This window comes from Homo sapiens, chromosome 6 (genome assembly GCF_000001405.40).
Source record: "Homo sapiens chromosome 6, GRCh38.p14 Primary Assembly".
Lineage (NCBI taxonomy): Eukaryota > Metazoa > Chordata > Mammalia > Primates > Hominidae > Homo > Homo sapiens.
This window is the reverse complement of record NC_000006.12, coordinates 116,488,251-116,504,692: the sequence shown is the minus strand read 5'-3', so window position 1 is coordinate 116,504,692 and position 16,442 is coordinate 116,488,251. Positions and strand designations below refer to the sequence as shown.

General features: G+C 38.2%; 1 protein-coding gene across 1 annotated transcript in view; it reads left to right on the top strand.

Annotated features, from left to right (window-relative positions):
- The window catches only part of TRAPPC3L (trafficking protein particle complex subunit 3L), a 50,696-nt gene extending 40,992 nt beyond the window's left edge, over window positions 1-9,704 (top strand). The window contains exons 4-5 of the mRNA NM_001139444.3: window positions 4,027-4,212; window positions 7,620-9,704. Coding sequence (NP_001132916.1) covers window positions 4,027-4,212; window positions 7,620-7,739 — 306 coding nt within the window. The 3' untranslated portion in view covers window positions 7,740-9,704. The remainder of the gene's footprint in view (window positions 1-4,026; window positions 4,213-7,619) is intronic.
- Window positions 9,705-16,442: the final 6,738 nt, after the last annotated feature.

Below are 16,442 nucleotides of genomic sequence, written 5' to 3'. Positions count from 1 at the left end.
ACTTGATGGTGGTGGATAAGCTTTTTGATGTGCTGCTGGGTTCGGTTTGCCAGTATCTTACTGAGGATTTTTGCATTAATGTTCATCAGGGATATTGGCCTAAAATTCTCTTTTTTGTTGTGTCTCTGCCAGGCTTTGGTATCAGGATGAGGCTGGCTTCATAAAATGAGTTAGGGAGGATTCCCTCTTTTTCTGTTGATTGGAATAGTTTCAGAAGGAATAATACCAGCTTCTTTTTGTACCTCTTGGTAGAATTTGGCTGTGAATCCGTCTGGTCCTGGACTTTTTTCGGTTGGTAGGCTATTAATTATTGCCTCAATTTCAGAACCTGTTATTAGTCTATTCAGAGATTCAACTGCTTCCTGGCTTAGTCTTGGGAGGGTGTATGTGTCCAGGAATTTATCCATTTCTTCTAGAGTTTCTAGTTTATTTGCGTAGAGGTGTTTATAGTATTCTCTGATGTTAGTTTGTATTTCTGTGGGATTGGTGGTGATATCCCCCTTTATCATTTTTTATTGTGTCTACTTGATGATTCTGTCTTTTCTTCTTTATTAGTCGTGCTAGCGGTAGATCTATTTTGTTGATCTTTTCAAAAAAACAGCTCCTGGATTCATTGATTTTTTGAAGGGTTTTTTTGTGTGTGTGTCTCTATCTCCTTCAGTTCCGCTCTGATCTTAGTTACTTCTTGTCTTCTACTAGCTTTCGAGTTTCTTTGCTCTTGCTTCTCTAGTTCTTTGAATTGTGATGTTAGGGTGTTAATTTTAGATCTTTCCTGCTTTGTCTTGCGGGCATTTAGTGCTATAAATTTCCCTCTACACACTGCTTTAAATGTGTCCCGGAGGTTCTCGTACATTGTGCCTTTTTTCTCATTGGTTTCTAAGAACATCTTTATTTCTGCCTTCATTTCGTTATTTACACAGTAGTCATTGGAGCAGATTTTTCAGCTTCCATGTAGTTGTGCGGTTTTGAGTGAGTTTTTTACTCCTGAGTTCTAATTTGATTGCACTGTGGTCTGAGAGACAGTTTGTTATAATTTCTGTTCTTTTACATTTGCTGAAGAGGGTTTTACTTCCAATTATGTGGTCAATGTTAGAATAAGTGCGATGTGGTGCTGAGAAGAATGTATTTCTGTTGATTTGAGGTGGAGAGTTCTATAGATGTCTATTAGGTCTACTTGGTCCAAAGCTGAGTTCAAGTCCTTGATATCCTTGTTAATTTTCTGTCTCGTTGATCTGTCTAATATTGACAGTGAGGTGTCAAAGTCTTCCATTATTATTGTGTGGGAGTCTAAGTCTCTTTGTAGGTCTCTAAGAACTTGCTTTATGAATCTGGATGCTCCTGTATTGGGTGCACATATATTTAGGATAGTTAGCTCTTCTTGTTGAATTGATCCCTTTACCATTATGTAATGGCCTTCTTTGTCTCTTTTGATCTTTGTTGGTTTAAAGTCTGTTTTATCAGAGATCAGGATGGCAACCCCTACTTTTTTTTTTCTTTCCATTTGCTTGGTAGATCTTCCTCCATCTCTTTATTTTGAGCCTCTGTGTGTCTTTGCACATGAGATGGGTCTCCTGAATACAGCACACTGATGGGTCTTGACTCTTCATCCAATTTGCCAGTCTGTGTCTTTTAATTGGGGCATTTAGCCCACTATATTTAAGGTTAATATTGTTATGTGTGAATTTGATCCTGTCATTATGATGCTAGCTGGTTATTTTGCCCAGTAGTTGATGCAGTTTCTTCATAGTGTCAATGGTCTTTAAATTTGGCATGTTTTTGCAGTGGCTGGTATCGGTTGTTCCTTTCCATGTTTAGTGCTTCCTTCAGGAGCTCTTGTAAGGCAGGCCTGGTGGTAACAAAATCTCTCAGCATTTGCTTGTCTGAAAAGGATTTTATTTCTCCTTCACTTATGAAGCTTCATTTGGCTGGATATGCAATTCTGTGTTGAAAATACTTTTCTTTAGGAATGTTGAATATTGGCCCCCACTCTCTTCTGGCTTGTAGTGTTTCTGCCAAGAAATCTGCTGTTAGTCTGATGGGCTTCCCTTTATGGGTAACCCAACCTTTCTCTCTGGCTGCTCTTAACATTTTTTCCTTCATTTCAACCTTGGTGAATCTGACAATTATGTGTCTTGGGGTTGATCTTCTTGAGGAGTATCTTTGTGGTGTTCTCTGTATTTCCTGAATTTGAATGCTGACCTGCCTTGCTAGGTTGGGGAAGTTCTCCTGGATAATATCCTGAAGAGTGTTTTCTAACTTGGTTCCATTCTCCCCGTCACTTTCAGGTACACTGATCAAATGTAGATTTGGTCTTTTCACATAGTCCCATATTTCTTGGAGGCTTTGTTCATTTCTTTTCACCCTTTTTTCTCTAATCTTGCCTTCTCACTTTATTTCATCAATTTGATCTTCAGTCACTGATATCCTTTTTTCCACTTGATCGAATCAGCTATTGAAGCTTGTGTATGCTTCATGAAGTTCTTGTACTGTGGTTTTCAGCTCCATCAGGTCATTTAAGCTCTTCTCTACACTGGTTATTCTAGTTAGCCATTCGTCTAACCTTTTTTCAAGGTTTTTACCTTCCTTGCAATGGATTAGAATGTGCTTCTTTAGCTCGGAGAAGTTTGTTATTACTGACCTCTGAAGCCTACTTCTGTCAACTTGTCAAATTCATTCTCTATCCAGTTTTGTTCCCTTGCTGGCAAAGAGTTGTGTTCTTTTGGAGGAGAAGAGGTGTTCTGGTTTTTGGAATTTTCAGCTTTTCTGCTCTGGTTTCTCCCCATGTTTGTGGTTTTATCTACCTTTGGTCTTTGATGTTGGTGACCTATGGATGGGGTTTGGTGTGGATGTCCTTTTTGTTGATGTTGATGCTATTCCTTTCTGTTCGTTAGTTTTCCTTCTAACAGACAGGCACCTCAGCTGCAGGTCTGTTGGAGTTTTCTGGAGGTCCACTCCAGACTCTGTTTGCCTGGGTATCACCAGCGGAGGCTGCAGAACAGCAGATAATTGCTGCCTGATCCTTCCTCTGGAAGCTTTGTCCCAGAGGGGCACCTGCCTGTATGAGGTGTCTGTCAGCTCCCACGGGGAGATGTCTCCCAGTCAGGCTACATGGGGGTCATGGACCCACTTGAGGAAGCAGTCTGTCTGTTATCGGAGCTCAAACACCATGCTGGAAGAACCACTGCTCTCTTCAGAGCTGTCAGGCAGGAACGTTTAAGTGTGCAGAAGTTTTCTGCTGACTTTTGTTCAGATATGCCCTGCCCCCAGAGGTGGAATCTAAGGAGGCAGTAGGCCTTGCTGTGCTGCGGTGGGCTCCACCCAGTTCAATCTTCCCTGCCTTTTTGTTTACACTGTGAGCATAGAACCGCCTACTCAAACCTCAGCAATGGCAGACACCCCTCCCCCCGCCAAGCTTCAGCATCTCAGGTCGATCTCAGGCTTCTGTGCTAGCAGTGAGCAAGGCTCCATGGGCGTGGGACCTGCTGAGCCAGTCACAGGCTCGGGAGGGAATCTCCTGTTCCTGCAGATGCGAAGACTGTGAGAAAAGCTCAGTATTTGGGCAGAAGTGTACAGTTCCTCCAAGTACAGTTACTCATGGCTTCCCTTGGCTAGGAAAGGGAAATTCCCTGATCCCTTGCACTTCCCACATGAGGCGATGCCCTGCCCTGCTTCGGCTCACTCTCCATGGGCCACACCCACTGTCCAACCAGTCCCAGTGAGATGAACCAGGTACCTCAGTTGGAAATGCAGAAATTACCCATCTTCTCCATTGATCTCACTGGGAGCTATAGACTAGAGCTGTTCCTATTTGACAATCTTGGAAGTGACTCACAAGTAAAAATATTTAAAAATTTCACATCATAGGATCAATAAATTGCAAAGCTAAGGGTGAAGCCGGACTTCCTGACTATAGACTCCATGTGCTTAACCATTGTGCTGCAATGCCTAGAACTGGGTATTTGTTTAGTCTGCTCATAGTTATTTGTTCTAGACCAAGTTTTAGTAATTTTGTTTTTTTCTTATCAGGTTGCTTTCAAGATGTACCTGGGAATTACACCAAGTGTGACCTGTAACAATTCAAGCAAAAATGAATTTTCCCTGATTCTAGAGAAGAATCCCCTGGTGGAGTTTGTGGAAGAGCTCCCTGCTGGGCGATCTTCTCTGTGCTACTGCAACTTGCTCTGTGGGATTATCAGAGGTGCCTTGGAAATGGTAAAGTTGAATAAGTGAAGAATGAATGAAGAATCTCTTAGTCCTTCTAAGGCTAAAATAAGATAACCAATATACATAATTCATTTTGCTGGGTATATTGGTTATCTAATGGTGTGTTACAAATTACCCCCAAAATGTAGCAGCTTAAAAAAACAAACGTTTATTATCTCACACAGTTTCTGAGGATCAGAAATCTGGGAGCAGCTTAGCTAAGTGGTTGTCATTCAGAGTCTTTCATGGCTTAATACACATGCAGTCAAGCTGCTGGCCAGGGCTGCAACCTCTGGCGACTTGACTGAGGCTGGAGAATCTACTTCCAAGCTCACTCACACAGCCCCAGTGCCTTGCTGGCAGTTGGCAGGAAGCTTCATGAAGTTCCTGGCCACATGGACCTCTTTGTAGATCTAATCACAACATGGCCACTTATGCTGCCAACCCTGGTGCCATGTAGGAGGGTGCTACCTGAGGGTGTGAATAACAGGAGGCAGGGATCATTGACCATTGTGGAGGCTGGATTTTACACCTGAATTATTCATTGGTTTAACTGAAACAGTTATTAGTATCTGCTAAGTGTCAGGCACTGAGTATACACAGATGAACAAGACATAGTTGCTGTCTTTAAAGAATCTTCTGTCTAATGGAAAAGTCAGATGTACAAAGAAGTATAATTAAGGCTATGAGAGGACGTGTGGCAGGAAAAACTTGTAGACTTCCTAAGGAAACTCTAAACTGGCTTTTGAAGGAAAAATAGGAGTTAGATAAAAGCCTTGGGTAAGAGGAGCAGGAGAAAAATAATCTAACAGGTAGAAGAATCAGCATGTCCAAAGGTACAAAAAGAGTGTTTCACTCAAGGAACAAAGAACTTGAATTAGTTCAGTATGACTGACATATAAATTGGGAGACAGATTGTCATGAGAAAGGAGGCTTAAATTCTTTACAGAAGCCTGATTTTAAGAAAAGGGATTCATATGACAAGCTTGGAAATTCAGATTTTTATATTGAAAGCAACAGAAATCAATATAGGTTTATAAACAGTAGAATAATATTTTGAAATTTGTGTTTTAGGAATTTCATTTCTTTATCAACCAAATGAAAGTATATCAGAGGGAACAATGCTGAAGGAAAGGATTAGGGCACTTTGGAAGTTATGATGGTAACCTCAGGTAAAACGAGAACAAAACCCTGACTGCAGGAATGGGGAGAGGAAGACCATTTGAACAACATCAAAAAGATGGAACAGGTTATGGACTAGGTTATGAACTGGCTGAAAGGAATGAAATTGAGAAAAAGATTCAAGAATGATTTGTAAGTTTCTGAGAAACCTGTAGAGATGGTTGTACTATTAAACCAAGAGGAACAAAACCAAGAGGAGTACATCTGGGCTTGGTAGAGACAAAGTGAGGAGTTCGATTTTGAGCCTGCTGGAGTTGAGGTGTTTAACACATGCAAGTGAGGCTATCCAGCAAGCAGTTGTTTATCCCTGTCTGGAGATCACAGAGAGACATGGATTGAAGAAGCATTAGAATAGGAAAAGAATGCCTAGGCAGAGTCTGTAGAGCAAGAATAAAAGGGAGTAACAGAACCATAGGAAGCAATAAAATATAATAAGTAGGTTAAACAGAGGGCACAAAGGCTGAAAAGGATACCAAGAAAAAGAAATCAGAGGTAGGAAAAGAAGGAGTCATAGAAACAAGAGAGGAGATCATTTCAAGAGGACAGACTGATTAATAAGAACAAGTACAGCAAAGAGTCTAAGTTAAACCGGACCTGAAAAATATTCACAACATTTAGGAACCAAAAGACCCAGAAGGGCCTTGGTAAAAGCTCCTTTGGGAAAGTGGAGGAAAAGAAGACAATCTGTCATAGATTGGTGAGCCAACAACAGCTTAAGAAGAGGTAACAGTCAACAAAGTCTCATTTTCCCAGAAGCTTAGCTATTAAGAATGGTGGAACCAGATAGCAACCAAAGTCTTGCCATGTATTGAGCTACCTAATAATGAGGCATGCATGTAATTTTAAATTATTTGTGATAATTAGGGGAAAATAGAATAACAAGTAATCCAAAAGCATAAAACAATAGAAATAATGTATTGTTCACACAGATTCTCCATGCGTCTACCCTAGCATCTTTTTAGACTTGTCCTGTAGTCGGTGGCCATGAGATCAAGGAAGAGGTGGGAAAGCATTATAAGTGTTTATGGGCAAAGGGAAAAACCATAAAACCAAGCCAATAATAGGATAAGAATGTCTTCCACTCTCATAAATAGCAGTTGATTATATTTGCTGAATGACAGCTGGTATCAGACCTCATGTGTCCCCAAATATCCAAATAGCTTCAACATTGTCTCCCTGTTAATTTAATTTATGTTCTGTTAAATTTTGACAAAGACTTAAAAAGTCTTATGGAAGAAAAAGTTGAGGATGAATGTTGCTTCTGTATTTCCAAGTGCAATCTACATCCTCTGTTAAATGGTAGGCATTGCAAGGCCGGGCCCAGTATGAGCCAGATAATTTGGTACACTAATGGTTTAACAAATTGAGGCTGGCTAGCTAAGGAATTCTTAGTGAGAGAGGGGACTGAGTTAGGTAAGATTCAATAAACATCAATTAATTGCCTGCTACATGTGGGCATTTTTCACATATTATTTGCTTTTACTAGGTGCTTTTACTTATTTATCTTATTTTTCCCAATAAATCAAAATAACTCTGAACAAATACACTATTGGGGGTAGGTCAGCAATATCATGCTGCTCTTATGTGGACACATTTTAATGAATAAAGAAGTAAGCCCTGCTTACTTCAGTGCCTGGGAAATGGGAAATACCTTACAGAGAAAAAGAAGGCCTGAGTATCAAATATTCATGTCTGTAAATTCAATCTTTAATTTTATATCTATAATTCATTTAATTGATATTATTCTCAAAGCTCTCAAAGCCATAAGTGACTGCTAAATGTTGTTAGGATAAGTGATTATGTTATTCAGCTAATGACAGAATGATTTATGGCAAATCTGTTTGAGAGCAATCATTTAAGAATCCATTTATTCTTGGAAATTCTGCTGGCTAAGCACAGTGGGTCAAGGCTATCCCCGAGCTGGGAATTTGTGTTCTTCTGAAGATGGATCCAGAGTTCAGCCTTGCACATTGAGCTAAGCTTGGCAGAGGCTGGGTGTCCCAGTCATCCTAGTTGGCCTGGACCACCCTCCTCTTTGCAGATTCACACCACAGAGCTGACACACAGCTGGACCATCTCCGGAGGACACTCAGTAAAGGGCCCTTTATCCACGAACAAGCTTTTTTAAAAATCATTTCTTAAGGAAAGTAAAGAAAGCTGAAAAAAGACTGAGAAAATTTAGTTTTTTGTTTTTTAATTGAATGACACAGGCCTGTTTTTTTCTTCTTTCCTAGGTTCATTTGGCGGCTGATGTTACATTCTTGCAAGACAGACTAAAAGGTGACAGTGTGACAGAAATAGGAATAACATTTCTAAAAAAGCGAGACGAGAAAAAATATAGAGGGAAAAAATGAAGACTAGCACGGAAAATGCCACGGGGCGGCTAGCTGAGTTAATGTTAGCTAAACATGTATAGACATAGAAATTTTGAATTGCTTCATAGCATGAGCTTTGAAAGGTTTATAAATCAGCCAGAAATTTGAAATGCAGGGCATGAAGGCTTAAAGGTTTTTTTTTCCTTTTGCTTATAAATCACGCATTTTCAATCTCATGTCCACAAAATTTCATATGCAAATAGCTCCTTACAAGATAGCAGGCAGGAATTCCACATCTTACACTATCCATCCTCAGAGAAGCTGTTCATTCCATTCACGTATGGTAATGGGAAAAAAAAGCAGCACAAATACAAACAGTTGTGTATTTGTCTCTTTGCTGAAAAAAAAAGAATGAAATGATATAGCATAGAGTTTCCTATATATAGACAGTAGTTTCTAGATACTGTATATTGCATTCCTTAAATAAATAATTCCATATTTCTAAAAAAATATGATTTGATTTTTCTCATGTATTAGCTTGGCTTATAGCTTTAGCCTTCTGACGCTACCCTTGATTTGTAATCACCAAGTCAAGCTATTTATTCAATGATAATTTTGAAACATTTATAAATAACATTTAATTTTAATTTATTTAGTTTTAATATAGCTGGCATCAACCAAATTCCTTCCTTTTCTCATGAAATATTGCTTGATGGTCAGGCCAGGAAACTTCTAAAATAAAGGATAAATAATATTCTTTGAAATTACTTTCTTACCCCAAAGCTTATTAATTCAGAATTTCTACTATCATTTTCATCCTCTAAAAAATCTTCCAAAGGATGTTTTCTTTGTGACCAGAACACATTTAAAATTCAAGTGTACCGAATTAAATACACAGTAATCTTCACCAGACCACTGGCACACAAGGGCGGCCTACAAGGCAGCCCAGAATCTACTGGGCTCTGCAGAGAGCCCAAATTGCAAGTACAAGTTATAATTAGTGTGATACCACCCTACGGAATTGGAGAAAATATTTGTAAACTATGTATCTGACACCCTTGTGCTATTAATAACCAGAATATATAAGGAGTTCAACCAACTCCATAGGAAAAAATTAAAATTAATAATCCAATTAAAGATGGGCAAAAGATCTGAATAGACATTTCTCAAAAGAAGACATACACATACAAATGGCAAACAGGTATATGAAAAGGTGCTCAACATCATTGGTCATCAGAGAAATGCAAATCAAAACTATAATGAGATATTATCTCACCCTAGTTAAAAATGGCTTTTATCCAAAACAGGCAATAGTGAATGCTTGCAAAGATGTGGAGAAGAGGGAACTCTGGTACACTGTTGGTGGGAATGTAAATTAGTATAACCACTATGGAGAACGGTTTGGAGGTTCCTCAAAAAACAAAAAATAGAATGATCATATGATCCAGCAATCCCACTGCTGGATATATACCCAAAATAAAGGAAATCAGTATATCAAAGAGATATCTGCACTCCCATGTTTACTGCAGAACTACTGACGATAGCTAAGATTTGGAAGAAATCTAAGTGTCCTTCAATAGATTAATGAAATAAAGAAAATATGGTACATATACACAATGGAGTACTATTCAGCCATAAAGAAGAATGAGATCCTGTCATTTGCAAAACATGGATGGAACTAGAGGTCATTATGTTCAATGAAATATGTCAGGACAGAAAGACAGACTTTGCATGTTCTCATTTATTTGTAGGAGCTAAAAATTAAAACAGTGGACTCATGGAGATATGGAGTAAAATGATGGATATCAGAGGCTGGGAAGGGTAGTTTCAAGAGGAGTGGAGATGGTTAATGGGTACAAAAATATAGTTAGATAGAATGAATAAGATCTGGGTCGGGCATGGTGGCACAAGCCTGTAATCTCTGCACTTTGGGATGCCAAAGTGGGAGGATTGCTTGAGCTCAGGAGTTTGAGACCAGCTTGGGTAACATAGACCCCTGTCTCTACAAAAAAAAAAAAAAAAAAAAAAAAATATATATATATATATATATGTATGTATAGTGCATACCTGTGGTCCCAGCTACTCAGGAGGCTGAAGTGGGAGGATTGATTAAGGCCAGGAGGTTGAGGCTGCAGTGAGCCATGATTGTGCCACTGCCCTCCAATCCGGGCAACAGAGTGAGACCCTGTCTTAAAAAAAAAATGTACAAGAATGAATAAGATCAAGTATTTGACAGTGCAACAGGGTAAGTACAGTTGATAATAATTTTTTGTACATTTAATAGTAATTAAGATAAAAATGGATTGTTTGTGACAGAAAAGATAAATGCTTGAGGTAATGGATACCCCATTTACCCGATGTGATTGTTATGTATTGTATGCCTGTATGAAAATATCTCATGTACCCCATAAATAAATATAGCTACTATGTACCCACAAAAAAATAAAAATTAAAAAATAATCAAAATAAATAAAACTGGTATAAGTGATATGTTCGTGATAGACGTCAATTAGGATTCAGGAGCCTGTTCTGAGTCCCTGTCCAGTTCTGTTTCTAGGGGCTTCAGCTGATCCTGAGTAGTGACTGATCCTGGGCAAGGCACATAATCTCTCTCTCTCTCTCTGTCTCTCTCTCTCTCTCTCTTTCCCCACCCCTTTAAAATCAGGATGCAATAAATGTCTAAAACTGTACCAATGGGTACAGTTTAAACGATATAAATGACCACTGAAATTCTACATTTTTGGACTTTAGAACACTGCAGGGAAATTGTTTGTTCTCCACTTAGTCAACTGTCTCTTAAAAAGGACATTGCAATAGGCATAAAGGAAATAGGGTCATTGGCACACAGCTGAGGCATCGATGGAAGAACCTTCAAACCTGCTCCACAGAAGACCAGGAATAGAATCTGGAAGAAGATATCTGACATTAGAAGGAGTATCACAATGTCATGTATTTTAAACTGATGCCTCCATAAGAATTCTTGCCTACACTCTATCCTAAAGCTTCTTTTTAGGATTTTTTCCATCTTCTGCTCAGTTGCCTCTTTCTCATTTATAATATATGCATTCCTCCCAGGAACCCAAGATATTCATGCCTAAGGCCCTCCCTCTTAAATTAGCACCCAACTAGCTATCCTGAAAATATTCCAGGCCTTGGGGTATTCTCCTACCTGTCTACACCTTCCTCTTCTTTCTCTCCTAACCCAACCATCAAAAGTCCCTTGGCCCAAAGTCTTTGTTCCCCACCCTGCTGAAGACAGCTTAATCTGGTATGCTCAGTGATGCTGGGTATAGGAACTGATGATGGCTTCAGGATGAGGCTTGTTCCCCATCCCTTGTTTTTCTCACCGTGGAAGGAGGGGAGCCTCTTGGCATTGAATATATTAGAATTATGAGAACCACCTATAGAATTTTATATTTTCTTATAGCCATATTAAATAATAAAAAGAAATAGGTGACATTAGTTTTAATAATATATCATTTATTTTAATTATCCAAAAATTTTTATTTCAACATAGTAATATAATAAATGTTATTATTATCTATCATAATAAATATAATTATTACTATTTTTGGTAGAGATGGAGGTCTTGCTTTGTTGCTCAGGCTGGTCTTAAATCCTGGCCTCAAGTGATCCTCCCACCTTGGCCTCCCAAAGTATTGGGATTATAGGAATGAGGTACCCATACCCAGCCAATATAAAAATTATTAACGAGACATTTTATATATTTTTTATACTAACTATTTGAACTCCCATGTGTATTTGACATTCTTAGCACATCTCAACTCATGGTAAATTTTCAAAGGCTGGAGTGAAATGTAGTTCTACCAAAATAACAAAGTTGTGTTTAGTGGTGTTTAATAGCCTCAATTTTTAAATCTAAATTAATTAAAATTAAACTGAATTTAAAATTCAGTCACACTAGTCACATTTTACATGTTTGATAGCTATGTGTGTCTAGTGGCTACTCTAATGGACGGCACTGGTCTAGAATTCCCAGTCAAAGTTTTGTTTTGTCTCCTTGACCTTTGACACAAAGAATGAATGGAGAGGATCCAGTACCATGGAGAGAAAGAGAGGAGATGGGTAGAAAAGAAAAAAATCAAAGAAAACCAGGGCAATAAGACTGTCAGAGACCCATGAAATGGTCTCTCTCCACCAACTGAGCGGTGACGCATAGAAACAATAGAGATTACACATCCTCCCCTGGGCTCCAAGTGTGTTTTCATCACCATTGTGTAAAGCTGGGTTTCTCTGATAAAGGGCTTGAGGAAGTTACACAGCATAACTACACAGCATAACTACAGGGTTATATAATATTTTTATTTTATATTATTTTATATTTTTATTTTATAAAAGCCTTTACTCTGAACCCAAAACCTTGATTAAAGCAGAGGTTTTTTTGTCACCTCAGCAAAGCAAAAGGGGAGGAAATGTTTGGGGCAGAGACGTAGCGCAATGCTCTTAAGTGACTACACCAGATATTGCCCAAGCTATTAACTGAGGAGGTCTCCTTTGGTTATCTATTCACTGTTTGCAGTTGCTAGGAATCAGAAATACCTCCCTCAGCGTCCTGCAGACTTACTTATTGTCTTCTCAAACCTCTCAGTTTCATTTATTAGCTGTTAGGAGCCTGGATCTGTTTAGCAGTTGGAATGAATGATGGTGAATAAGTGGAAAGTTTCCTCTTCTCCCTGTTTATGAGAGACAAAAGGAGAAATTTGGAAAATCAAATGCTTGAAGTAAGAGGACGATATTAAAACTTTTGTAACCAGAGACTACTTTAAGAAAAATCTGCTACTACTTTAACAAAGATCTGCTAAATGTTAACTAACACAGTAAATGCTAAGTGTCATTGTTAAGTGTCTCCCACTGGGCTGTAGACTCTGGGTGGTTGTAACACTTCAGTTTACTTCACCAGCTTTGGAAGTTAATATCTCTTCAGTAACACTGGAAGAGTCTGTGATGGATGCATCCTCCCAGCTCTGGAAACTTCATGTGACAAAAGACTCTGTATGCTTCTTATTAAGAGAGAAAGCCAAATTTTATTTACTCCACTTAGTTGCATATTCCTTGAAAAATCTGACCAGTGTCTGCATTTCTTCATCCTAATAAACCTTCCAGAACTTTAGCTGGACATAACCAGTGGTTGACCAGTAGGGTCTATGACAAACCACCAACAGACAGGAAGGGATATAGCAGGTATAATGTACCAGTGTGTGATCTCAGAAGGAAATGGTCAATTCTTATTCAGTTAGCAAGTGTCACCCTAACATTGAAAACAAGGCACAGCCACAATAATCATTAGCAAAATTTTATTTTCATTAGAAAGGAAGAGCTAAACAAAACAAATCAAAAGTTGGAGCCCCTTCACAAAAAAAAAAAAAGTCAAGAAATAGACCTTCTGGGGGTAATTCTTGTTCTCCCTTGAACCCAGGCTCTGTCTTTCCCAATTAAATCTTTATTTGTGTCCCAGGGATGAAGCCAACTTGATTGTGGTGGATAAGCATTTTGATGTGTTGCTGGATTTAGTTTGCCAGTATTTTATTGAGGATTTTTCTATCGATGTCTATCAGGGATATTGGCCTGGAATTTTCTTTTTTGTTGCATCTCTGCCAGGTTTTGGTATCAGGATGATGCTGGCCTTACAAAATAAGTTAGGGAGGATTCTCTCTTTTTCTATTGTTTGGAATAGTTTCAGAAGGAATGGTACCGGCTCCTCTTTTCATCTCAGGTAGAATTTGGCTGTGAATCCATCTGGTCCTGGACTTTTTTTGGTTGGTAGGCTATTAATTACTGCCTCAATTTCAAAACTTGTTATTGGTCTATTCAGGAATTCAACTTCTTCCTGTTTAGTCTTGGGAGGGTGTATATGTCCAGGAATTTATCCATTTCTTCTAGATTTTCCAGTTTATTTGTTGAAATCTTTTTCCAGTTGATTTGGGCTGGAGAGTTCTGTAGATGTCTATTAGGTCCACTTGGTCCAGAGCTGAGTTCAAGTCATGAATATCCTTGTAAATTTTCTTTCTTATTGATCTAATAGAGGTGTTTATAGTATTCTCTGATCATAGTTTGTATTTCTATGGGATCAGTGGTGATATCCCCCTTATCATTTTTTATTGTGTCTATTTGATTCTTCTCTCTTTTCTTTTTTATTAGTTTAACTAGTGATCTATCTATTTTGTTAATCTTTTCAAAAACCAGCTCCTGGATTCACTGATTTTTTTGAAGAGTCTTTCATGTCTCTGTCTCTGTCAGTTCTTCTCTGATCTTAGTTATTTCTTGTCTTCTGCTATCTTTTGAATTTATTTGCTCTTGCTTCTCTAATTATTTTAATTGTGATGTTTGGGTGTCAATTTCAGATCTTTCCTGCTTTCTGATGTGGGCATTTAGTTCTATAAATTTCCCTCGTGACACTGCTTTAGCTGTATCCCAGAGATTCTGGTATGTTGTCTCTTTGTTCTCATTGGTTTCAAATAACTTATTTATTTCTGCCTTAATTTCGTTATTTACCCAGTAGTCATTGAGGAGCAGGTTGTTCAATTTCCATGTAGTTGTCTGGTTTTGAGTGAGTTTCTTATTCCTGAGTTTTAATTTGATTGCACTGTGGTCTGAGAGACAGTTTGTTATGATTTCTGTTCTTTTGCATTTGCTGAGGAGGGTTTTACTTCCAATTATGTGGTCAATTTTAGAATAAGTGTGATGTGGTCCTGAGAAGAATGTATATTCTGTTGATTTGGGGTGGAGAGTTCTGTAGATGTCTATTAGGTCCGCTTGGTCCAGAGCTGAGGTCAAGTCCTGGATATCCTTGTTAATTTTCCTTTTGATCTGTCTAATATTGACAGTGGTGTATTAAAGTCTCCCATTATTATTGTGTGGGAGTCTAAGTCTCTTTGTAGGTCTCTAAGAACTTCTTTTATGAATCTGGGTGTTCCTGTACTGGGTGCATATATATTTAGGATAGTTAGCTCTTGTTGTTGCATTGGTCCCTTTACCATTATGTATTGCTCTTTTTTGTCTTTTTCTATCTTTGTTGGCTTAAAGTCTGTTTTATCAGAGACTAGGATTGCAACCCCTGCTTTTTTTTTTGCTTTCCATTTGCTTGGTAAATCTCCTTCCATCCCTTTATTTTGATCCTATGTATGTCTTCACACATGAGATAGGTCTCCTGAATACAACACACTGATGGGTCTTGACTCTTTATCCAATTTGCCTGTCTGTGTCTTTTACTTGGGGCATTTAGCCCATTTACATTTAAGGTCAATTAAATGTATGTGTTATGTGTGAATTTGATCCTGTCACCATGATGCTAGCTAGTTATTTTGCACATTAGTTGATGCGGTTTCTTCATAGTATCATTGGTCTTTATATTTTGGTGTGTTTTTCCAGTGGCTGGTACCGGTTTTTCCTTTCCATATTTAGTGCTTCCTTCAGGAGCTCTTGTAAGGCAGGCCTGGTGGTGACAAAATCCCTCAGCATTTGCTTCTCTGGAAAGGATTTTATTTCTCCTTCACAAGGCTGGTTCAACATATGCAAATCAATAAAGTAATCCATTACATAAATAGAACTAGTGACAAAAACCACATGATTATCTCAATAGATGCAGAAAAGGCCTTCGATATAATTCAACATCCCTTCATGCTAAAAACAATCAATAAACTGGGTATTGATGGAACACATCTCAAAATAATAAGAGCTATTTATGAGAAACCCATAGCCAATATCATACTGAATGGGCAAAAGCTGGAAGCATTCCCTTTGAAAACTGGCACAAGACAAGGATGCCCTCTCTCACCACTCCTATTCAACATAGTATTGGAAGTTCTGGCAAGAGCAATCAGGCAAGAGAAAGAAATTAAGGCTATTCAAATAGGAAGACATGAAGTCAAATTGTTTCTGTTTACAGATGACATGAATGTATATTTAGAAAATCCCATTGTCTCAGCCCGAAAACTCCTTAAGCTAATAAGCAACTACAGCAAAGTCTCAGGATACAAAATCAATGTGCAAAAATCACAAGCATTCCTATACACTAATAATAAATAAGCAGAGAGCCGAGTCATGAGTGAACTCTCATCCATAATTGCTACAAAGAGAATAAAATACCTAGGAATACAACTTACAAGGGACATGTATGACCTCTTCAAGGAGAACTACAAACCACTGCTCAAGGAAATAATAGACGACACACACAAAAAATGGAAAAAAATTCCATGCTCATGGAGAGGAAGAATCAATATTGTGAATGGCCATATTGCCCAAAATAATTTATATATTCAATACTATTCCCATCAAACTACTATTGACTTTCTTTGCAGAATTAGAAAAAACTACTTTAAATTTCATATGGAACCAAAAAAGAGCCCATATAGCCAAGACAATCCTAAGCAAAAAGAACAAAGCTGGAGGCATCATGCTACCTGACTTCAAACTATACTACAAGATTACAGTAACCAAAACAGCATGGTACTGGTACCAAAACAGATATATAGACCAATGGAACAGAACAGAGGCCTCAGAAATAACACCACACCTCTACAACCATCTGATCTTTGACAAACCTGACAAAAACAAGCAATAGGGAAAGGATTCCCTATTTAATAAATGGTGCTGGGAAAACTGGCTAGCCATATGCAGAAAACTGAAACTCGACCCCTTCCTTAAACCTTATACAAAAATTAACTCAAGATGGATGAAATACATAAATGTAAGACCTAAAACCATAAAAACCCTAGAAGAAAA